This window comes from Homo sapiens, chromosome 18 (assembly GCF_000001405.40).
Source record: "Homo sapiens chromosome 18, GRCh38.p14 Primary Assembly".
NCBI lineage: Eukaryota > Metazoa > Chordata > Mammalia > Primates > Hominidae > Homo > Homo sapiens.
In genome coordinates, this window is record NC_000018.10 from 75,192,729 (window position 1) to 75,214,505 (window position 21,777).

The 21,777-nt window shown below is 47.6% G+C and overlaps 2 protein-coding genes across 5 annotated transcripts in view, besides 9 other annotated features; one reads left to right on the plus strand and one right to left on the minus strand.

Annotated features, from left to right (window-relative positions):
- Positions 1–2,379: 2,379 nt before the first annotated feature.
- On the minus strand, positions 2,380–16,411 carry PTGR3 (prostaglandin reductase 3). Of its 3 annotated transcripts, none has more exons than XM_024451166.2 (2): positions 15,692–15,789; positions 2,380–9,612 (listed from the first exon to the last, which is right to left on the minus strand). In XM_024451166.2, exon 2 carries the CDS (start codon positions 9,450–9,452, stop codon positions 8,688–8,690), a length of 765 nt encoding a protein of 254 aa, XP_024306934.1. In that variant the 5' UTR covers positions 9,453–9,612; positions 15,692–15,789; the 3' UTR covers positions 2,380–8,687. The 3 variants fall into 3 exon arrangements, with proteins under 3 accessions (XP_024306934.1, NP_001293022.1, NP_787103.1); NM_001306093.1 differs by lacking the exon at positions 15,692–15,789 and adding an exon at positions 12,465–12,785; NM_175907.6 differs by lacking the exon at positions 15,692–15,789 and adding an exon at positions 16,122–16,411 and having other exon boundaries at positions 2,385–9,612.
- Positions 11,900–12,893: an enhancer, noted in NCBI's record as "H3K27ac-H3K4me1 hESC enhancer chr18:72916583-72917576 (GRCh37/hg19 assembly coordinates)". NCBI's record gives its function as "activates a minimal SCP1, AML or CMV promoter by ChIP-STARR-seq in primed H9 embryonic stem cells {active_cell/tissue: H9 hESC(primed)}" and the evidence as "EXISTENCE:reporter gene assay evidence [ECO:0000049][PMID:30033119]".
- Positions 11,958–12,127: a silencer, noted in NCBI's record as "silent region_9546". NCBI's record gives its function as "represses an Ori minimal core promoter by ATAC-STARR-seq in GM12878 lymphoblastoid cells {active_cell/tissue: GM12878}" and the evidence as "EXISTENCE:reporter gene assay evidence [ECO:0000049][PMID:35858748]".
- Positions 12,208–12,307: a silencer, noted in NCBI's record as "silent region_9547". NCBI's record gives its function as "represses an Ori minimal core promoter by ATAC-STARR-seq in GM12878 lymphoblastoid cells {active_cell/tissue: GM12878}" and the evidence as "EXISTENCE:reporter gene assay evidence [ECO:0000049][PMID:35858748]".
- Positions 15,885–16,060: a silencer, noted in NCBI's record as "fragment chr18:72920568-72920743 (GRCh37/hg19 assembly coordinates)". NCBI's record gives its function as "represses an EF-1alpha promoter that drives an FKBP-Casp9 reporter gene in an ReSE screen in K562 erythroleukemia cells {active_cell/tissue: K562}" and the evidence as "EXISTENCE:reporter gene assay evidence [ECO:0000049][PMID:32094911]".
- Positions 15,885–17,125: a biological region, named in NCBI's record as "H3K27ac-H3K4me1 hESC enhancer GRCh37_chr18:72920599-72921529".
- Positions 15,916–16,846: an enhancer, noted in NCBI's record as "H3K27ac-H3K4me1 hESC enhancer chr18:72920599-72921529 (GRCh37/hg19 assembly coordinates)". NCBI's record gives its function as "activates a minimal SCP1, AML or CMV promoter by ChIP-STARR-seq in naive H9 embryonic stem cells {active_cell/tissue: H9 hESC(naive)}" and the evidence as "EXISTENCE:reporter gene assay evidence [ECO:0000049][PMID:30033119]".
- Positions 16,086–17,125: a silencer, noted in NCBI's record as "silent region_9548". NCBI's record gives its function as "represses an Ori minimal core promoter by ATAC-STARR-seq in GM12878 lymphoblastoid cells {active_cell/tissue: GM12878}" and the evidence as "EXISTENCE:reporter gene assay evidence [ECO:0000049][PMID:35858748]".
- Positions 17,886–18,180: an enhancer, noted in NCBI's record as "tiled region #3936; K562 Activating DNase matched - State 1:Tss". NCBI's record gives its function as "activates a minimal TATA promoter and a strong SV40 promoter by Sharpr-MPRA in K562 cells {active_cell/tissue: K562}" and the evidence as "EXISTENCE:reporter gene assay evidence [ECO:0000049][PMID:27701403]".
- Positions 18,069–21,777, plus strand: part of TSHZ1 (teashirt zinc finger homeobox 1) — a 79,148-nt gene continuing 75,439 nt past the window's right edge. Inside the window, exon 1 of one of the 2 annotated variants that reach the window (NM_001308210.2) lies at positions 18,069–19,188. In NM_001308210.2, coding sequence (NP_001295139.1) covers positions 19,149–19,188 — 40 coding nt within the window. In that variant the 5' untranslated portion in view covers positions 18,069–19,148. The remainder of the gene's footprint in view (positions 19,189–21,777) is intronic. The other variant, NM_005786.6, reaches the window with a different exon arrangement.
- Positions 19,063–19,382: a silencer, noted in NCBI's record as "silent region_9549". NCBI's record gives its function as "represses an Ori minimal core promoter by ATAC-STARR-seq in GM12878 lymphoblastoid cells {active_cell/tissue: GM12878}" and the evidence as "EXISTENCE:reporter gene assay evidence [ECO:0000049][PMID:35858748]".

Here is a 21,777-nt window from a genome sequence, read left to right on the forward strand (position 1 = left end):
CCGCCTCCAGTCCTTCCTTGTTCTGCCTCCAGTCTGTGCTGGACTCTGGGGAGTGCCTAAGTGGAAGTGCTTATTCTCCTGCTGCCGCTGCTCACAGGCATCTCCCCAGAACCTCCTGCTCGGCTCCGTGGCCTCTCCTGTGGGTTGTGGCACATGCAGAAAAAGCACATCAAGCCTGGCTACGTGTTCCCAGGAGACTGTGCTGTGCTGACCACAGTCGGAACCCCAAACAAAGGATGAAGGTCAGGTGCTCAGGGGCATGGCGTGGGGGCCTGCCCAATTTCCACAGAGCACTGTGTGAGCGCCCAGGACAGACGCTAGCTCCCTGCCTGGGCATCCAGGGCTATCTGCAAATTCCTAAAACTAGATTTTATCTACAGCTCAATTGGCTTCCTTTTTGATAACAAGATGTTTTATTGCATTTGTCCTAGACAGACAGGTGTTATTCCAATGGCTACAGTGATGTATTTACGAAGCATTTGTATGGTTTATAACGTTTCCCTTATGAAGGCTACTGCCTCTTACATTACTATAATTTCTATGGGCCAATCTTTAAATAAATGCTACATGTGTCGCCGCATCGCTTGTTCCAAGTGACCCGATTCAAAGGTGATATAAATGGGATGTTTCTCCCCTTCATCAGGATAATTGTTTAGTATCTTGCTAATGACGACATAAGCCCAGTGACAGCGGACCCCCCAAAGGCCTGCTAGGAGTTTTACTGACCACTCCAGCTAAAAGAGTGAGGTTTAACTGGTGACCCCAGACCAGGGGGGAGAACACGGGCATGACAAAGAATTCGACTAGAAAAGCATAAGGGAAACACCAAGGAGTTTAGGTCCTTTCGAGCCCTGCCTTGATCTGAAAGGCAGTGAAGGTGGAGGTCTGGGGCCCACTGCAGGCCACTCCTATTACCTTTCTGGACTTACTTCCTGCCCTGTTTAGAACTGTATGAAAACAACTGCCACCAGAGCCCTCCGAATATCAGACATACAATCAGGTGCCACAGCTGAGTTTCAGAAAGCAGGTTCCCTTAACGAAGCTGAACGTGTGATGATAAAAAGGAACCATCTTCATAGTTGTGTTAAGCCCTGGTGTTGCAATTCATATCCAGGTAGCCTTTGCGTTGCTCTGAAATGCCTGATGAAGTAGCATTTTGCAAGATGGGAATCTCTCCAAAGGCAGCGTAATAATCCAGGACCTTACCACCAGCAGCATGTGTGCGTGTGTGTGTGTGTGTGTGTGTGTGTGTGTGTGTGTCTCTTGGGGGGGGGTCACCTGGAAAATGTTGACTCCCAGGTCCCCTGTACCTCCTGAATTGGGACCAGTATTTGAACAGGTGACTCATACGGATGTTAGCGGGTAGGAAGCACCCCTCTCTAGTGAAGGACAGCCTTGGTCTGAGAACTATCCACGGACTCAGGCTCTGCTCAACCAGTGATAAGTGATCTTGGGCAAGTCATTTTTCTGTGCTTTAATTTTTCCTTCTCTAGTGGGAATCATTCATCTCTACCCAATTAACAGTAAAGAAGTGAAAACAGCAAAATTGCAATCAAATACGTCAAATGCGCAAATAAGTTCTAAAATGTTACAAAAAGTATATGTACAAGTTGAAAGGACAAATATTCTCCAATACTGATAATGGTGGCATTTTAATTTTCCTGCTGCTGGAGAATGAGCATTCTCTACAGTTGACTTGATGCCGGGGCTCCTTCAACTGGCCCTCATTCCACAAGCAATTCTCCAAGTTACTTTGAGTAAAAACCCTCAAGGAGACAATTCAATTTCCAAATGTAAATTCCAACAACATATAGAGGGAACACTATCGCTACCAGTCCCCTGGTGAGAAATGAGGTTTTCTACAAAATGTGATTGCCTTTGACATTGTTGCCGTTCCTGTGAAGTGGTTTTTCAATGTTAAAAGAAGCTGTTTCTATTGGGAAGGGATTTGTTCATGTAAAGTTGAAAGTTTACGCTTGTTATGCATGAGTTCAAGGGAAGACAGAAACGATGTGGAAAGACATGGATGTTCAATGTCATGTGGTTTTGAAGGGCTTGTTTCTGACCCTTAATTATGATCTGTCATTTATACAGAATATAGGGTTCTTGCCACATGTGAGCATGAAACGTGGACCCACTGATGTCTTCCCCACACATATCCCCTTCACCTTAAAATACTTCCTGCCATCAATGAGTGAATTCATCCCCCAAGGAGCTGAGTCTACAGGATTCAGAATTTGATTCTGGGCAGAAGAGCAAATTCAAATTCTAGATATTCTGCTATGAAGGCAAAGATTATGATAGTCAAACATTATCAGCTTTCTATAGGCAAAAACATGTAGGTGAAATCCTTCTAGAGAATGAACGCTCTACACATGATTTTCTCTATTTGATTTTCTTTATTTGATTTGTAAGAACACATTCACAGGAGCCCTTCCTCCTAGCATTAAAACTAAATTATGGATATTAAGCCATTAATTCCATTGAGGCTAATTTGTTTTTAACTTTCTGTGATATTTAGACGACACAGAATCAAATGATCTGGAATCCTAATTGTGCTGGATTAGAGTTGAACACACTTTCATGGTCAGAACCGTGATACTTCTACTGGGTTTATCTCCACAAAAAGATTCATAACAAAGGCCAATTGCTGTTCTTCAAACCCCTAGTCAGCCGTATCCCAAAGGACCCGGGCAGATGGTAAAGGGGACTGCAGAGAAGTCACCTGGCGGATGGGAGGGCATTGGCCAGTGTTCCAGCTTCACTTCTGAGTCCAACGGGCTCTGTAACCTTGGACCGGGCACCTTTTCTCTCTGGGTCCCAGTTTCTTTTCTTCATTCATAAAATGGGTAGAACTAGATTATTCTTTAAATCCCACATTTAACAGTTTAAAAGCAACTGGGGCATGTTGCGGTGGCTTATGCCTGTAATCCCAGCACTTTGGATGGCCGAGGCAGGAAAGTCACTTGAGCCCAAGAGTTTGAGACCAGCCTGGGCAACGAGGGAGACCTTGTCTCTACAAAAAATAAAAAAACATTAGCCAGGCATGGTAATGCATACCTGAAGTCTTAACTACTCAGGAGGCTGAGGTGGGAGGATCGCTTGGGCCCAGGAGGTCAAGGCTGCAGTGAACTGAGATCACGCTACTGTACTTCAGTCTGGGTGACAGAGCAAGACCCTTTCTCAAAAAAACAAAAACACAAATTGAGTCTTCTCATTCACAAGAGCCAGAGATGGGTGCAGGCTCCTCCCAGCTGTAAGTTTCTGCTGGCAACCATGGACCTCCAGGGTTTCGGCATCTAGGGCAACCTCTCTTCTAAGGACACCATTCCTTACCCACGTTTCAACATCTCCCACCAACCAAACAAACCATCCATTTGATCATTCTAAGACCCTGTTCAGTTCTTTAGGTGCCGAGGATAAGACACAATAATTTTATGAGGATTTTTCTGAGCTCTAAGCATAAATCCATCTTTCATATTAGATGCTACCACCTATGTGCAGGATGTTTTAATTATTTTAATTTCATACCGTTTCAAAGACATCATCAGATAGATAGTGCTCCTCAAGGGAAATTTTGGCTTGGGGTGGAGGCACATGTTCAAATTTCTGCACTTAGGCCAGTATGGTGGCTCATGCCTGCAATCCCAGCACTTTGGGAGGCCGAGGTGGGAGGATTGCTTGAGCCCAGGAGTTCCAGAGCAGCCTGGGCTACATAGTAGAACCTCATCTCTAGTAAAAAAATACAAAAAAATTAGCCGGGCATGGTGATGTGCACCTGTAGTCCCAGCTACTCAGGAGACTGAGGTGGGAGGATGGCTTGAACCAGGGAGGTTGAGGTTGCAATCAACCATGATTGCACCACTGCACTCCAGCCTGGGTGACAGAGCCGAGGTCTTGTCCCAAAAAAAAAAAAAAAAAAAAAAAAAGTCTGTACTTTGGCCCAGCGCTTCTCAACATACATGAAGACGTATTGGTTTTCTCCAAACTGTGCTCCCCGGGATACTTACCCTTAAGGGCACCCCAACATGCTTCCTGAGGACAGTCAAGCCTCCTGGGATGCAGTGAGTGAGCACCAATGGGCAGGTCTATAATGGGCAAGAATAGACTCGAGGACAATGTGGACCACAGAGCCCCTTTAGTCTTGCTGCTGTGTCACACTAGCTACTCAGCCAGGGAAACAATTAAACAGGATTCAAGCAGACATAATTGAAATAGGTCCTTTTTTGACTTCCTGTGAATATCAACTACTACTAAGAATCACTTGATCTGATACATATTATTAAAATGTTATTTGTGTGTTTTGTGTAACTTTTTTTTTTCTTTTGCCAACATTCCATAGTTTGTTCATGGTAACAGCAGTAAGGTTCTCATGCCAAGCATTCCTCCTTTTACAAGGGGGATAGCATGATGCTATAAGCCTAGGAAAAATAAAATTCAAAGTTTAAAATGAAAAAAATAGAGTAAGACCTACTATTTGATAGCAAACAGGGTGACTATAAGCAATAATAACTGTACATTTTTAAATAACTGAGTGTAGCTGGATTGTTTGCAACTCAATGGATAAATGCTTGAGGAGGTAGACACCCCATTCTCCATGATGTGCTTATTTATTTCACATTGCATGCCTGTTTCAAGACATCTCATGTACCCCATAAATATATACACCTTCTATATACCCGTAAGAATTAAAAATAGAAAAAAAATGAAAACAAACTTTAAAGCGACCACACCAACCATATTGGTAATCCAGTTTAAAGTGACCACACCAACTGTATTGATGATAAACCAAAGTGACCACACCAACCGTACTGATAATCCCGCTTAAAGTGACCACGGCAACCATACTGATAGTCCAGTTTAAAGTGACCACACCAACCGTTTTGATAATCCAGTTTTGTATTTTGACTTCTGAAATATGATCATAAATGTTTAATTCTGGGCCATAACTGGGAAATTAGTTACTGAACATCTAACTTTCAACAAAAAAGCCCATGAAGTTTACATAGATAATTCTTGTGTTTAACCAAGTAATAAAATATTTAATAAAATGAAAGTATACAGAAGAAAATTATGAATTCATCAAATCAGGCCGTTTTGCATCCAGATTGTATTCAGAAAACTTGTTTAACACCTAGGAAATTACTGTCCAAAGTTGATAGTGCTTGGTCTTTTTTATCAGTTTTTATTCTGAAAGCTGTGCATTACTAATCTACTTTTATGTAAATCTGAAATACAGTATTTATCCCATATGTCCACATGGTAAAGTAATCAAGAAAGATATTTTCAGTGCTTAGCACCCCCACCCCAATTTAAAGGAAACTCTGACTGTAGTAAATTCATGCTAATTGAGAACTCTGGGGAAGGGGTTAAAACATTACCCAGGTACAAGTCGGGTGGCCATTATAAACGTTACCCAAATAAAAGCCAGAAACAGGAAGCCAAAAACCAGGTCCCTAAGGCAGGCATGTGTCTTAAATGATATCATTTGTCAAGCTTCCAGCATCTTGTGGTGGTGAACACAAAAAGAAGGTCTGCGTTGTACTGAGGACATTACATCCTCATTAGCTGGAATGTTCCTCAAGTACATAATGCAGGATTTTCATTTTAATAAGAAGCAGCTACTTGTCACTGCACTTTCATTAGATAAACACAGAATGTAATACTAATGACCATTTACAGAGGCTCTATCCTACTCCTGAGGAACTTCATCCAGATGAAATCATATAATGACAAGTTATAGAATATATCATGCAAAACTTCCTTCATTTCTTTGCAAACTATTCCCTGAATTTTTTTTTTTTTAATGCTGAGGTCAGTTAACAGCAGTAGTCATCATCAAAGGAACCCCTAAATGACACTGCTGGTATTTTCTGCCTGCAAAACAGGCTTGAAGGAATAGCATTTGGCTCTTTAGAAGTCATAACCAAATGGTAACAGATCACTGGGACTCCTTGGTTTCTCAAAGAGGCAAGCTCCTTCCACCCTGCCCGGCTGGTGACCTTAAGCCCGACATGCAGAGAAGTCCACGCTGAGAAATAATTTACTCACTGGGATTGTTCCACCCTGGCCCCTTCTCTAAAAAGACTGACAATTGCCCTGAATTATGGATGTACTTTTTGTGATATGTATTACAGTTCAGAAGAAAGGTGTTGAGACCATCGTACCGTTTCACCTCCCATTAGAGGCTGGTCTTGAACAATAATCCCAGAAGATGAAACTGATGCTGAACTATGACCCTCAATTTACAAATCATTTTTCAAAAGAATAAAAAAAAGTTTAAACATATTTTTGGCATTATCTGAATGGGCGGAATCTTTCATGCTTGTTTTCTAAGAATAAGTGAAAACAGCATGCAGTGCACTTTCTTAGTTTGGGGAAAGAGAGAACATGAGGTTTTCAGATTATATTTTATTTTAATCCTGGGCGTTTGAATTTTATTTTTACATAGCTGCATTTAGTATATTCCCTCAAAACACAATAAATTTCTATTCTGTAGCTTAAGGGATCCATCAGTTAAAATGTTGGTCTTTCATCTTTATTACCCTCCCATTAAAATGAAACAAACCGGGACTCACTTCAGTTTCGAAGAAGCAATTTAGTTGGTAATGTCCTTACTCCCCAAGTCTTTACAAAGGGAGAAAGTACATTACTGCTTAGATTTCACACATCTATCTGCATAAGAAGCAACTAAGCCTTTTGGACATAGACTATGTTAAATTTAATAATATTCTTTGATTAGATTATTTTATTACAACATTTTTTCCATTACCAGTCATTTCCTGTGCACAGTTACATTCATAAAACCTGCTCCCCCCTCCTTTGTTTGTTTGTGAATGTAAAAGTGAGGCAAAGTCTCTTTCCGTGTGGCTGTGGCTGTTAGGTCTGAAAGGGATGGATGAATAACTAAGCACCACACTGGACGGGTTTTTCCTAGTCCCCTGCACCAGTAACCCTTTGCTATAATGAGGACACAAAGAGCCTCGCATCAGGCCGCTACCCTTCTTCATAACTCAAAAGCGTCACAGTGGCAATAGCCTCTAGTGCTATTTGTCTTTAGTGCAGTTGTGACACTTCGGCATGATCCATAATTTGGCAGCTATTTACCGTGACATTTCCCTTCAGTGCAGCCATAACATTCAGTGAAGCCATTATTTGGTTCCATTTACCATATAAATTGTATTGTTGTGCATGCATGCTAGCAGCTACATTAGGTACCTGAAAATGAGTAAATCTTGTAAAATAGATACTAACAGCTATTCAGCAGTAGGATTTCCTTGCTCCTCAGATGGAAGGAAAGAAAAATTAAATACAGTCCCCAAATTTCCTAGAGCATCTTTAATTGCGTCCATATTTACTGAGCAGGTTAGATACACCGAAACCTAAGACTTTGAAAAATAATCTGGTGGGCTTCACCTTCAATCAGAACGGGCCCATGGGGTTTCAGCGCAACGGTGACAGCGGCAGCAGTCTTCAGGGCACTAAAGGTTAAGAGGGAAGCCGATGAGCCACAGGCGTGACTCAGAAGAGAGGGTGCAGGTTTCGCTGCTTTTCCTGTGTGGTCAGTGGGTCAATGTGGGACATCAGGCTATAGTGCCAAGGAGCATCTCATTCCACCAGAACACGTGGAGAGAAAAATGGGAATGCAGAATGAGTGGCTGCTATTCTGTTTCCAGAATCAGAGGTAACGCATAGCTTCTAGTTCGAACGCCTCTAAGGAGAAGCAAATGTATTCTTCCTTGAGATGACTGAGGTCTCTACGGTGCACAGGGCGATGGGACATACCGTACCTCGAGCAGTGTAGCATGCTGTTACTAAGGCCTTGCCGTGTGCCTAGACAGCGCTTCCCTCCTGGGGCCCGTGTTTTGTGGTGAACCCCCACTGAGAATGGAGCGCACACTTTTCTCTTTCCTGTGCCTATATTAATTTTAAGTCCCCCTAATCTCTGTGGTTTCCCTTTCCAAAACCTACTTTCTGTCTATGTAAGTTTTCAACATTAATTTGCTGCTTCAGAGGAAAGAGAACATTTCCATTTCACATGTGCCTTATCAGGTTGATGGTAGATAAAAGCCATTACGTGCTACTTCTTCAAAACACATCTGTGTTCACGGAATCATTTTTCTAATAACAAAATCAAATTTGGGAGGGAATTCCCCCAAATGTCCATTTAGATAGTTGGTTGGTGATTTATAGAAAAAAAAAGGACCATTTCCTGAGGATATAGATTCTGAAAATATATGGCTGGCTTTTGCTACACTTGTCACTCATGAACTGCTTATGAGCATAAGACCAAATTCTCCCAAAGCAAAGAAGTCGGGAACCACTTTCAAAACTGATTTTAAAATCTGATCAAGCTGAAGACATACTGACTCGATCAGATCTGGCATCAGGAATGAATTTAGTTCCCTGGAACAATAACATCTGGAACGAGACCATCCATGACTAAAGAATTGAATGTAAGCGTTTTCCCTCTTAGCCATGGAGGGAAGTTTTATTAGCACATTTTTTTTTTTCCCCCAAGGGAAGAGGAGGAGGAGGAGGAGAAGGAGAGACCTATTCATTAACACCTTACTTTTGTTTTAAGAAATATTATATCCATTACCAACTAAAAATAAATTGATTTGAGTAATTCTGAGACATAAAGTGCCCATTTTCTTTCTCCCTTGATTTATGTCATTGTTCTGTTTTTACAGCTTACTGTTGACAGAGTGAGGTAATTCAACTACAATTTTTCCAGTGTTTTTTCCCATGTACATATAATTGACAGCACGGAATATGGACTCCAGGCCAGTAAACCTGCCCTCTGGAGACAGATCTCCAAGGTCCACCTCACAAACCAGGTCTCCGCTCACACACATCTCGAGCAAGTGGCTCATGGCTGCTTGATACTTAGAAAGGTAATGGTTCAGGAAGAAGCCCTGTACGCTGGCAGATTTCTTGAGCAGTTTGGCTGGCAATGTTCCTGCTTTCACAGGCGAAAGGCCAGTAGGAGTTTGGTAGCCAGAGATAAACCCTATTACTATCAAGCGCCCTTTCGTAGCCAGGGCGTCTACAGCCAAGTCAAACATGGCTCCCCCAACAGATTCATAGACCACATCGACACCTTCAGGGTACTCCTGCTTAAGGACGGTACCTACGGGTTCAGTTTTATAGTTGATAGGACGATCACAGCCAAGAGATTTCAGAAAAGCAGACTTTTCATCAGAAGAGCAGGTTCCAATTACATGGCACTTTGCCTTCTTTGAAAGCTGCATGGCAAACTGGCCCGTTCCCCCAGCTGCTGCTGTCACCAAAACTTTTTTCCCTTCCGACAGTCCTCCGAGCTCTTTCAGGCTGATGTATGCGGTGGTGCCACTTACCAGCAGGGTAAGATACTCGGGTTTCACTGAGGGCACTGGAGTTGCAATGCTGGCAGGCACAACTGTGTACTCAGCAAAAGAACCAGGTGCCATGTAAGCCACAGCTTGGCCAACTGTGTATCTGGCACTAGCAGAGAGGCCTAGGGCCACCACCTCCCCAATGCCTTCGAAACCTATGTCAAAGGGAGGCTTAACTGAGGGGTCATAGCGGCCTGCTGAATAGTTGATGTCAGATGCGTTAACACCAACAAATCTAAAAGAAAACAAACAAACAAATATGTTACGATGGGTTTTTTGTTAGGCATTTAGATTCTGCTTAGAGAAATTCCTCTAGTTCTGGCGACCCTGGAGGGGTTGCTAAGCTATACAATCTGATCGAATTTGAGAAAATTAGTCCTGCTGCTCAGATAAAAAAAGAAATTAAACAAGTATTAGTTCAATGTGCTTTGTCTCAGTTTTTGGCATATTTTTTCCTTTCATCAGTTTAGAAATAATTTCATATCATTTTAAATGGCAAGTTGTTTGTTTCACATTTTCACATGCCATTTATTTGTCTTCTTTCAAAAGTAGAAATAAGCAAAAAAAAAAAAAAGAAAAGAAGGAAAAAAGAAAAAGAGTCAGGAAATCCTCATTATATATAAACTTCACTGGAGCTGTGAGTTGGAAATTAATTGGCCTCTTAACAAAGATGTTAAAAACAACACTGGGATAAAATATATTCAAAGAAGTAGACTTGTATTGATTCTGGCAACAATTTAACACTTAAGATAATAAGAGTAATGACAATGATATTATTAAAGATTGATGGAATGTGCAAGGTCACTGGTTGCTACATGTTCCTGCAGGGGTTGTTTGAAGCACTGTTAGAGTGGCTGTCGCAAATTTTCTTTCTGATGTAACTACATCCAGTGTGAAAATACGCATTTTGATTAATTGAACAAAAATTGGGTAGAGCGATTTTTATGAAACATTCAACATTTCACAGTCCTTTTCAAATGAAAAGGAAAGCAAATCGTTACTATATTTTTCCTCAACAAGAAGCAGAGACATAACTTGATTAATACCAGATGATTATTTTCATCTTGGTATCCGGAGTCAATTTAATTGCGAGGCCAGTATTTTTCCCAGCTTTTTTCATCTCAGTATACCTCCTAACAAAAATATCCTGATACATAGGAGGAAAAAAGCCATCTACTAAGAATGTCAGAAGGTGGCTTAGACACATAATGGAAGACCCTAAAAATGTCATTTCCACCTGTAATAGAATGAAAAGGTAATAGTAACTGGTGGAGGAGGAAAGCCGTTAAGCAGGTCATTTAAAAGGAATTCACTTTTAATTTAACTTAATAAGCCAAAACTGTCCTGTATGCGATACACTTTCACGGTGATATAGGTAATACTCTGCGCTTATAAAAGCTCACTTATGATCATCCCCCATGTATCTACAGGACAGAAAAGTCTCTGTATATTGTAGAAATAAGAACGCAGGGAGCAACTGCTTTCTGTTATGTCAAGCTGCATTCAGACGCCAGCACACCACACAGCCTCAATAACACCCCACACAATTCCATACCCGTGGAAGATACACAATCATGAGAAGGGGGAAGATGAGTTTTGCTGGTTTCTTATTTGGAATTTAATATCAAGATGCCTACGTTCTATTTTTTTTTTCCTACATTCTATTTTTAGAGAAGGGAAAGAACCTGCCATCTTTCCTTTAAATTTACATAATTCTCAAGGCCTGGCGTTTTAAAAAGGGCCCACTTCCCTGGGAGCTTGCTTCTGGACTTCACAGCAGCAGCCCAGGGCAGAGCCAGCTGGAGCCCGTCTCAGTGCCTCTGCCTTAGGCTGTAAAGCAAACTCCAGGAAAGGTGCCCGTGGGGGTGGAAGTGACGGTAGGGTTTGCTCTGGAAGTGGGGGGACAGGAGCCGACCCACTGCCAGTTGTGTTCTGTGCAATCCTTTGCCCACGATTAACCCTTCCCACGCCCTTCATCCCTCCCAGTTTGTCCCCCTGGTGTCTCCACAGTCCCAAAGGCAGTAGCCGCTCCTCTGCAGGGAGACCCCGCCTTGGGGGGACACCCGGGCGGCCAGCCCCTCTGCGACGGCAGTCCTCCCCACCTCGGGATGGGCGCGCCCTGGGGGGCTCTGCAAGGGGAAAATGCAACCCCCCCTCTCCCCGCCCCAGGCTGTGGTTTGCCGCTTCCTGGGAAGAGGTGGAGAGATGGAGCAGGACGCACACCGGAGCAGCCTGGGGAGCGCGCACACGCGCTGGACCGGGTTAGCAGAGGCCAAGTTTGGGAGGGGGGAGTGGGGCTCTGCTGGGAGCTGGGGCGGCTGCAGCCAGCCAGCGGCTGCTTGAGTTTGCCAGGGGCCTTTGCTTGAAAAACCACACCAAACATCGTGGTTATTCGCAAGGGCAAGCGCTGGAGCGGTGGCAGCAGACGCGCGGGGCCCGCGTGCCCGTCCAGGCTCCGTCCATCTAACTCCCTCTCCCTCAGAAGTGCCCGCTGCAGCCCTCAGCTCCAGCCGTGCAGTCCTACGGCATCCCCACCGCCACCACGGAGAGGGGATTCATTGACCCCAACTCCCGGGCGGGCCGGGACCGCGCAGGCCCGGCGCCGCGGTGGAGTTGAGATTCCTCAGGCCTGCGACCGTGACCTCGGCCTCTCCGGGTCGGGCGGGGGCCCCGGCAGGCGCGCCCAGTCCGCGCCCTTCGTCCCAGCGCCGGCCGCGCAGCTCCGCCTGGGTGGACAAGTTCTCTCCGAGTCCCGTGCACTCGGCGCGCCGGAGCGCAGTGGCCGACAGACAGGGCCCGCCGGCGGCTTGACCGTGACCTTGGCCTCGCAGGCACCCCCATTTCTCACCCCCGCTCTCCCGCCCCGCCGTCTTCTAAATTGTCTGCGTCGTCGGTGAAGGAGGCTTAGGCTGGCTGACGGCAGGAGCCCGCGGCGGCTCGGGTGGCTCCTCGCGCCGCGCTGTCTCCTTGGTCTCCCTGCCTCCGGTTCGCGGACCCCCACCTCCACCGGGATCCCTGCTTTGACGCGGCTTCGCCCCCGCGGCTGGTGAGGACCCTCCACAGCCCGGGACCCGCCTGAGTCCTTACCTCTGCGTGAGGGTCCGCAGCTCGCGCCTTCCGCTCCACCAGAAACAAGTTCAAGCGCAGCAGGCGCAAAGCGAATGCGGGGCTCGGGATGGGGAGCAGGGGCGGAAGGGCCAGGGAGCCACAGAAAGACAAGAAAGACACACTGGGAAGGATTCGCGCATTTGGAGACCCTCCTTGTACCCCCACCCCCCCTTTAATTGAAACTGTGTGCATGCAGTGAGCGCAGGATTCTAGTAATCCGACGGGAGGATCCACTTAAAAGACTAAAATCCAGAAACCCCAGGAAAAAAGAATAGGACCGGCGCAGGCATTCTCCAAATCTGTACCCTTCTAGAGTCACCAGCTTATATGTACTTAAAAAGTGCTAAACCCCCTCGTCATGTTTACTGAGAAACAGAGCGATCCTGCGCAGGGGAGAGGAACGCTTTCCTCTGAACAAAAACCAAAGGCGAGGATTCAAGTCCAGAGTAAAAGCCTTCAATACTGGGAGACAAAACAAAGTCGTCCAAACCAGACCTGCCTTAAGAAAAAAAAGAAAAAAGAAAGAAAGAAAAGAAAAAGAAAGAAAGAAACAAAGAAGGAAAGACAAGAAAGAAAGACAAGAAAAAAAGCGGGGGGGAGGGGGTGGGAATCTCGGCCTGGAGAGTCAGCAGAAAACACTGTTCCCCTTCCGTAAGCAACAAACCGTTTATCAAAAACGCCTTCCCCATCCCCCACCGTCCCTTAGCCATTCCTACAAACTCTTTGCTCCATTATCTTACACTTGAGCAGAAAATCGTTAGAAATATTTGGAAACGAAATAATCTGTCACCTTCTTACGAAAAAAGCTGAAAATAGTGCATAAACTGATTTAACCTGGGGATGTCTCTCTCTCTCTTTTTCTTTTCTAAGGACTGAGCATAGAGGGGGAGATGGGAAGTTGTTCTCGGATACATAAAACAGTAAGGTAAGAACTGGATAAAGGACCATCAATTATACATTCTATAGGGATTTTATATGCCCCTTCTTACATCTTTTCTAAATAGTAAACTTTATTATCCTAAATCAATGTCTAGCTTACAAGCACATCCCTCCCTGTGAATGAAGAATTTGTATTTTGTGCTAAGATGCAATGAAATGTGCAAATTGTTCACTGAAAGAAAAAAAATCAGAGCACAATTAAAACCACCAAACATCTTTCCCAACAAGGGAATTTAGGCTTACTCAATTCATTCTAGAGCGGATTTTAAGATGATAAAAATGAGAGGCACTTGCATAAAATTTAAAGCAATTAACATTGCTTAGGGGAGATTTGGTCTAGGATTAAAATGAACTAACCTGCAGTGAATTATTAAGCCTCTATTCTTAAAAAATTCGGTAAAATGTCACATCCACTGACACTGTTTGCAAGAACACAGGATCTTCCTACAACGTGGTGGTGGGAGCAGATTTTCCAACAGAGTAGGGAAAGCGGGAGGCAAAGATTCTGTCCCCTCCCAACTCAAAAGAAAACTGTCCCCATTCTTTTCCCTTAAGGATTCAAGGAAGAAACTAGGGGTTAGGTTGTTCATATGGAGATACTATTTATATTAAAAGGATTCTTGGCGTGTGTGCAGGGAAAAAAGAGGCATGGATTTTAAAGTGGAGCACATTGGGGAGCTCCAAACATGGGAGTCTGCACTCCCGCGTTCTGACCACAAAATTCAGGGATCCACCTGTCTCCCGCCCCAGGACCAACCCTGGTGACCCAGGGCAGGCAGTGCCTAGGCACCCTGGCTGTGCCTCTCTCCCCAGGGGAGAACTTGCCCTTTGGGGAAGGGGAAAGGGAGGGGTCCCAGGGCAGCAGTAAGCCTGAAGGGAGAGGAATCACAGGAGGAAAAAAAACCCCACAGAGTTTATTAACACTCGCAGGTAGAGAGGCCCAGGAGACCCAGCGCAGCCCGGCGGGAGCCCTCTCCACCTCTCCACCAAAGGCAGGTGGTCCCACCAGGCTGTGGCTTATAGTTCTCTAACGCCTCACCTTCCCCCTGCCCTTCCTCGCTCAGTCGCCTCCTCCCCATATCACACCATTTCCAAAAGGAATTTTATTCACAAACTTTTGTGTGTGTTTATACTAGTGTTTGCAATCAAGAGTACACTTTATCAGAAGGAGAAAAAGGGAAAAACCCTGTGTGGAACTTCTTGCCCGTTAAAGTTTGTTTGGAAATCTTTTCAGTCTGGTGTCATCTCAACTTCTAGCAAATCACTCATGCGTTCTGTGTGCTCCACGTGAACACATACTCAAGCCCTTCTTTTTAGCTGGGCTGGGTGCACGCTCTTACTCTCAACAGCACTGGCATTTCATCCCATAATGAATCAATCCTCTGCTGTGTCCACAGCCAATGCAAACATTTTCAAGGATCCCTACACACTCCCCTTTAAGCCATTCCAGACCAGCCCCCCACCCCCGCCTCCACACAATCCTACCCATGGTTCAATCATTCTTCCCAAAAGGTTTCCAAAAGTTTTATATCGTGATCAGCATTCTTCCATACTACAGTCTTGTTAGGAAGGCTAATAGGAATCTCGAAAATGGACAAATTAAATGCTGCATCAAGCTACTTAGGAAGGTACATTTTGTCCTTCAGTCCGTGCAAGGGACTTTACGGTACTTTCTAGTACACAATTTACAACATAGTTACAGTCAGAACTTACTCCTCCCTTTCGATATTATTATTCAACTTGACACATGCAGCACCGTAAACATTTCGATGGGACTTTGCAGGCCTCTGCAGAGGGCATAGAGGAGCGCCTTGCCAGTCAAGTCGGGCAGCCAGGGACCCACGGAGCAAAGACCTAAGCGGGCATGGCTCCGATAAAGAGTGAGGTCCGTTTCCTCCCTGTTGCTTCGCCAGTTACTAAAGATGAGTGAGGCGGAAACACGACGGTGGGGAGCGCGGGGAATGGAAAAGCCAGAAGGTCTCGCAACAACCCGGTGTCACCTGAATGTCTGCAAAACGTGCCGGCAAAGGCAGCCATGCCCCCACCCCGACCCTGGCCCAGCTGCCCGGGACACGCGCCACGCGGCGGTCGTTAACACTCAGGGGACAGACAACAGTCACACTGCACTGACAGCACGCAGACAACACCGGCGAGGTGCACACCCACACATCCAACGACAGGCTCCGCCACTGCGAGGCGGCTGCCAACCTGGAGGGAACAGGGAAAGCCAGCCGGGTCCCAGCCTCCTTCCTCCGAAGCACGTTTACCTAAACGTCGCAGTTTGCGTCCAGGCTGCTCCCGCTCCACCCTAAAGATTATGTCAACGCAGGAACTGTGGGTGCGCGCGGGCGGCCCGGCGGGGAGCCTCCCCTTCTGGGTCCCGTCGGTTTTATTTCGGGAGCGGGAGGGGGAGGAGGGAGGGCTGGAGGAGGGGAGGGGAATCCCAAATTAAAATAACCCTCAGTTATGAGGACGTTCGGTGGCATCGGATATTCACACCAGCAACAGTCACATCACATTCGCCTTCGCCAGATGGCGGCGGGTTCAACTTCCCGGGATCTCGCAAACTCAGGCTGTGCGCCCGAGCGCGCGCCGGAGTGTGGGCACGCGGGCGGGCTGGGGACTGCGGGAGCGGCGCGGCGCGGCGCGAGCCCGGGGCGAGAACGGGGGCGTGGGGTTGGGGGGCGCCGGGCTCACCGGTTCCGGACGAGGAGGTCTCCGTCCCCGGGGAGCGGCACCGGGCAGTCCCGGCTCAGGGTGACGGCCTCGCGGAAGTTGGGGCTCAGCCGGGTCACCACCAGCTTCTGCATGGCTTGGGGAATGGCGGAGCCCTGGAAGTCCAGGAAGTGGCGGGCGTACGACATGTCCACGATGGCCCGGGCCCCGGTGGGCACCAGCCGCAGCATGGCCTGCGCCTCCGCCCGCTCTCTGCGCCGACGCTGGCCGGGGTCGGCCCCCGCCCGGGCCGCTCGGCTCGGCTGTGCTCTGCTCGGCTAGGGCGGGCGGGTCCGCCCCTCCTCCGGCCGGCGCCCTCCCCCTGGCTCCCCCCTTCCCCGCGTCGCCCGCTCCCGCTCCCCCCGCCTCCCCGGCGCCGGCGCAGCCCCCGCGAACCCGGGCGCACCACCCCGGGTGTCCCGGCCTGGGGACCGCTGCCGCCCCGGCCGCTGCTCCTTTAATCTTTTTGTTTTGGTTTGAATCTGCTCGGCGCAGACTGGCCAAGGATCCTCTCCGCCCTCCCCCTTCCTCCTGGCGCGGGAGAGGCACCGGATATCCCCACCCTCCCCGAGCTCTAAAAGCCGGATTTGACTCCTCTCGGGCAAGGGTGGCGGGGGGGACGGCGGGCAAGGGGGGACGGGGGACTCGCGCGTCCCGCGGTCGTCTGCGGCCCCGAGCCGGCGGCAGCCCCGGGCGTCCCCGGAGCTGCGCGGCGGCCGGCGCAGGCGCCTCCCCTTCCCGTGCGAAGCGTTCACTTCCTTGCAAGGTGGTACGAATCAACCCCGAGCGCGGCCCGGGCGGCGGGGCACGACCGGGGACCCCGGGCAGGGCGGGGAGCCCCTGCCGCCGCTGCCGCACGCGCACCCGTACCGACCGCGGGGCGGGGAAATGTCCAGTGCCTCCCGCTCCCCAGGCTGGTGGCTTCCTGTCCCCGGAACCCCTTGCGCGTGCTTTCTGTCCACGGTCTGTCCCATGCAAGTTGCAGGAACTAAGCCATTTTATTTATTTTGGCCTAGATTTCATGTTTTTCCATGAATGTTTTAAGTAGATCTACAAGACTGTTACAGGTTTCCCATTGGGAGAGAACACACATATAGAAAACCAGAAGGCCAAATTCCCAGAGCACAGACACATTTTAAAGTTCTACGTGGGGATGCCGAGGGACTTAACTGAATTGGAGACGTTGCACTGCTGTGTGAGGACCTCATTTTCGAACCCAGCTAGAAAGATCTGTCGTTCCATCGTGTCCGTTTTCTCCCTACTGGCGTGCATGGACCAAATGTCAATTCACTTTTTATAGAGGGGCCAAATTAAATATTTCCACACTTTTCTGTGATGAACTAAGTCCATCTTTACATTTTTATTTAAATTGTAAAATTTAATTTTAAAAATATCTTGCTTTTCAGTTACCCACGAATTACCAAAATATAAAAGCTACTCTGGGCTCCTCCCCAGCCAAATCTAACCCCCCAACCTGAGATTGCAAAAGCGACACAGATATTTTTCCCCCCAAATGTAGGACATGCTTCACCCAAGGGTAGTTTGGATGCACGTGGTTGCGTGTGTATGAATGTGCAAGTGTGTGTATGTGTATGTGTGTGTGTTGGGGGGGAACTAACAGGTTTAAAAATCTGCAGGAACTAATGTCTACTTAACTTAGAGCATATGGGTTTTACCCGGTATCAGCCAGTGGGTTACAATAACAACACTGAATGAATTCCTCCAATGTACAATCTTTTATGTTATGCTGTATTAAGATTTCTTTTTTTTGTCATATTGTTTAGCTCCGAAAAAAAGAAAACAAAGCAATTAAAAAGATTGACAGGTATGGTTTGTGAGAGACCTATTTGTAATTGTCAGGGTGACGTTGGCGAGAGGAGGAGGAGTAAAAACTGAAGCAGGAAAAGCAGCTCGATGTGTCTGTCTATCAGTTGAGACTGTCTGAAAGCTCTGCGATCCGAATGTGTGTTATATTTCACTGAAAAGAGGAGAGAGCGAGAGTGCATCTCCCTCTCTCCCAGGAGTTTGAGGGGGGGGGGGACAGTCCACGCTCATCTCGCCCACCCAGTGAATGTCTGCTCTTCACCCCCTTTGCACACACTCTCCGGGTTGTTGTTGCCTTTTTTTTTTCTTGGAGGGGGGGGTGCTTTTTGTGTATTTTTCAAATTTTTTTCTGTTGGAAGATCAAGACCGGCCAAAAATCCATGATCAAAATGTGTTTGCATTAGATTTCGCATTGGAAGAAGCGGCGATCCTGGCGGCCAAGCCCCCCGGGTGGAAGCGCGGGGCACCAAGTGGCGCTCCGGCGGGGTGACACTGTTTGATCTGTGACTGTTTGGAAGGTGGAGCAGCGCCTGACATCTCCCCCCGGCGCATGTATGTACGGGGGCTTCACTCCTCTGTCTTGTTTGCTTTCTTCCTCTTAGACTAAGTGCGGGGAGGAAAAGGACAGCCTGCATCGGCCTCGCTGGCGCACAATGAGAAAGCTGCGACCCGCGCACTAAAAACACTCGCCGCGACCCCCAAACAGCGAGGAGAGAGGGGGAGAGAAAGTTGCGCTCGGCGACTCTCGGCTCGCGGAAGAAGGCGCAGGGGAGCGCCCGGAGCGGCGCGCCGGGAGGAGCGCCCGCCCAGCAGCAGCGCGGCGGCGGGGAGGCGGCAGCATGGAGCGCGGGCCGCGGGCCGGCCCGCCGAGCGCCCGCTGCTGCGCCCGCGGCCCGCGCCGGGGATGACTCCGGGCTCGGCGCCCAGGCCCCGCGCGCTCCGCCCGCAGCCCGGCGCCGGGAAGCGGGCCGCGCGGCCGCCGCCGCCGCCTCCTGAGCGGCCCCGGGCGCGGCGGTCCATGCGAGCGGCTCCCCGCGGTCCGCGGCGCGCCCGGAGCCCGGAGCCCGCGGGGACGAGGCCAAAGTTGGGCGCGCCGCGGAGTTGCGCCCGCGCCCGGGGCCCCGCGTCCCCGCGCCCCGCGAACTCCGGCGGCGGCTGAGGCGACGGCTGCGGCGGCCGAGCAGCATGCCGAGGAGGAAGCAGCAGGCCCCCCGGCGCTCGGCAGGTAACGGGCGCGCGGCCCGCGCCGCGGGGAGTGGGCGCCGGGAGGAGCAGGAGGAGGGGGCTTCGCGGGCCGAGGTGCGGGACGTGGGCCGCGGGCCGCCCCAAGCTGGGGAGGGGAGGCCCAGCCTGCGCTGGCCACAGTCGTCTGGAGGCTGCGGTCGCCGTCCTCCCCCACACCCCCAACCTGGGCCGGCGCGTGGAGCAGAGAAAGTTCGCGGTGCTTCTCTGCGCTGCGGGAAGCCCGGATGGCCGGGGGAGGCCGGGGGCCGCGGGACGGCGGGTGCTTCTGGCTACCTCAGGAGGGGGCGTGCGCTGAGGGGAAGTAGTTGCTCCTTGGCTGCCGGAGCGCACTGGAAAAGTCCTCCAAAGGCGGGGAGGCTGAACCTGACACTTGAAAACAAGGTCACCAGGCTGGGACGCAAAGAATGTGTTCAGAAGATTTCTCTGGAAAACAGCAGCCTTTAATGTCCTGTGCAAGAGGCCCCCCGCCCCCACTTTTTTTTTATTACCTCTAAAGATGTCTTTTGATCAGGCCAGCACAAGGCAGTGATAGTGCAGACTCTGATTGAACAGAAAAGTTATTTTTCTCTGGAGGAGGAACTGGCAGGAGCTGGTTTTCCTTGTTTTCTGTTTTATTAGAGGATTGCCATCCTTGATTTGATGTGTGATTGATCGCCTGTCATCTGGCAGCCTTTGATCTATTCATTCCTGATAAACATCAATAAATCACTCACCATGGAAACACACATGCTCCTGACAGCTCCGCCACTATCAGGGCAACTTTTCTCTCTCGCTCCCCCTTTTGCTGCTCCATTTTAATTTTGTCTCAGAAGTTTTACAGCTGCAGCATCCCTTAACTCAGCTCACCTACTAATCCATTGCTAAACCTGGGGTGGGTCAGCTGCCGTGCGTTTTTGAGCACAGGTTTGAAAATAGCCCAGTGATTCTGCTGCCTGCTCAAGTCTTGTCTCAGTTTTGGACATTGCGTTTGTGGGGCTGAGAATGCAACCCATATGCCAGTGAGTTATCGCTAAATAATAGAGTAAATCAACTCTCTCCAAGCTCTTAGGGTAAAAATATTAGAAGGAGTGTTTTATGTTTAAACATGAGCGACTCTTTAGCTGTTGCAGTACAGAATAGAATCTGAATAAGTTTGAGTATCACATTCAGTAATGTGCACGTGTTCAAGTCTTTATACGTGCTTTTTCTGGGGAAGCACTTAAAGCAGAGATTACTGCTACTAAAAAAATTTGGGAATAGTATCTACGTTTATGAATGGTTCAGTAAAATAACCTCATCATTTCCATTAGATCACTGATAGAGATGCTCTCAAAGAGTTGAAGGAGATTACCTTATGCTGAGTATTCACAACATAAAAGGAACAGAATGGAGAATATTTATTTTGGAATAACTTTGAGTAATGGAGGAAGAAACCTTTCAAAGAGAGTATCTATGCCACTGGTAGCCCCCAAATAATATAGCTCAGTGTCTCAAGATATTCGCCACTTGCTCATGCTAGAAACAAGAGGTCTTTACATTTTCACAGTTAGAGGGATTTTTTTTTAAATGACAGAATGTACAATAAAAAGTTGTGTTCAGAAAACTACTCCTGTACTCTTAAGAACTTTTGCAGTTAAAATTGCGGTGAATATTTCCAAGGACAAACAAAATGCTGAGGGAATGAGGTACTGCAACTTTAAATACCACATTTTTTTTTTTTTTAAATAAAAGGTTTGAAAGTTGACAAGGGCATGATGGTGCATGGTAATCCATCCTGGCAGCTCTTACATAAAAACAAGCCGTCAAGGCGACTTTTTTCCAATATTGATTTAATTGTCTGTCTTTTGACAGGCACATATATCATTGGCTTTAATGGTCAATCAAAAGTTGGCAGGCTTAGTGTTTCCATTCTTTCCTCTACACGACATTTGGCATACTTAATCAAAATGCTGCAAAGTGATGGCTATGAAGAGTTGATGACTGAGTCATCTGCTGTACAGGAACTTGAGAGGGAAAAAACCCTAAAAAATGGAGCCAAAATATATTTTAGTTGAGAGGAAATTGAGACAGCACATGTTCCAAGTGTCCTGTGTTTTGAAGTGAGATTTCAAAAATAGATTCCATACTAGAAGGTTCTGTGTAAGTTTAATTACAGGGTTTATTATCTCTACTTTGATTCCAAACCTGTGGGATTCTTGTGTTCATTAGATGAGCCATTGTTTAGCTCTTCCCCCCTCACTCATAAAAAGCATTAACGTGGATTCCTAGCAAAATAAGGCTGTTTGCTTTCATCTGGAATTACTTCCATTAACACACGTTGGTTCACACTTGCTTATTTTCACTAATATTTACATTGGCATAAGTCCTTCCTATATTTGTAATGGGCTAGGTGAGAAAATCCTGATTTCCTTCATCTTAAGCGTTTAATAAGGAGCCGTCGATGTTTATAATCTCTGCAGAAGCCAGTCAGATTCCCTCTTAAAGTAGCCACAATGCATTGGTAGCAAATATTATTTGTTCATTTTCTGGAAAAGAAAGAGGGCAATGATATACATATGTGAGTCAAGCGATTTTCCAAAGTGTTTTTATT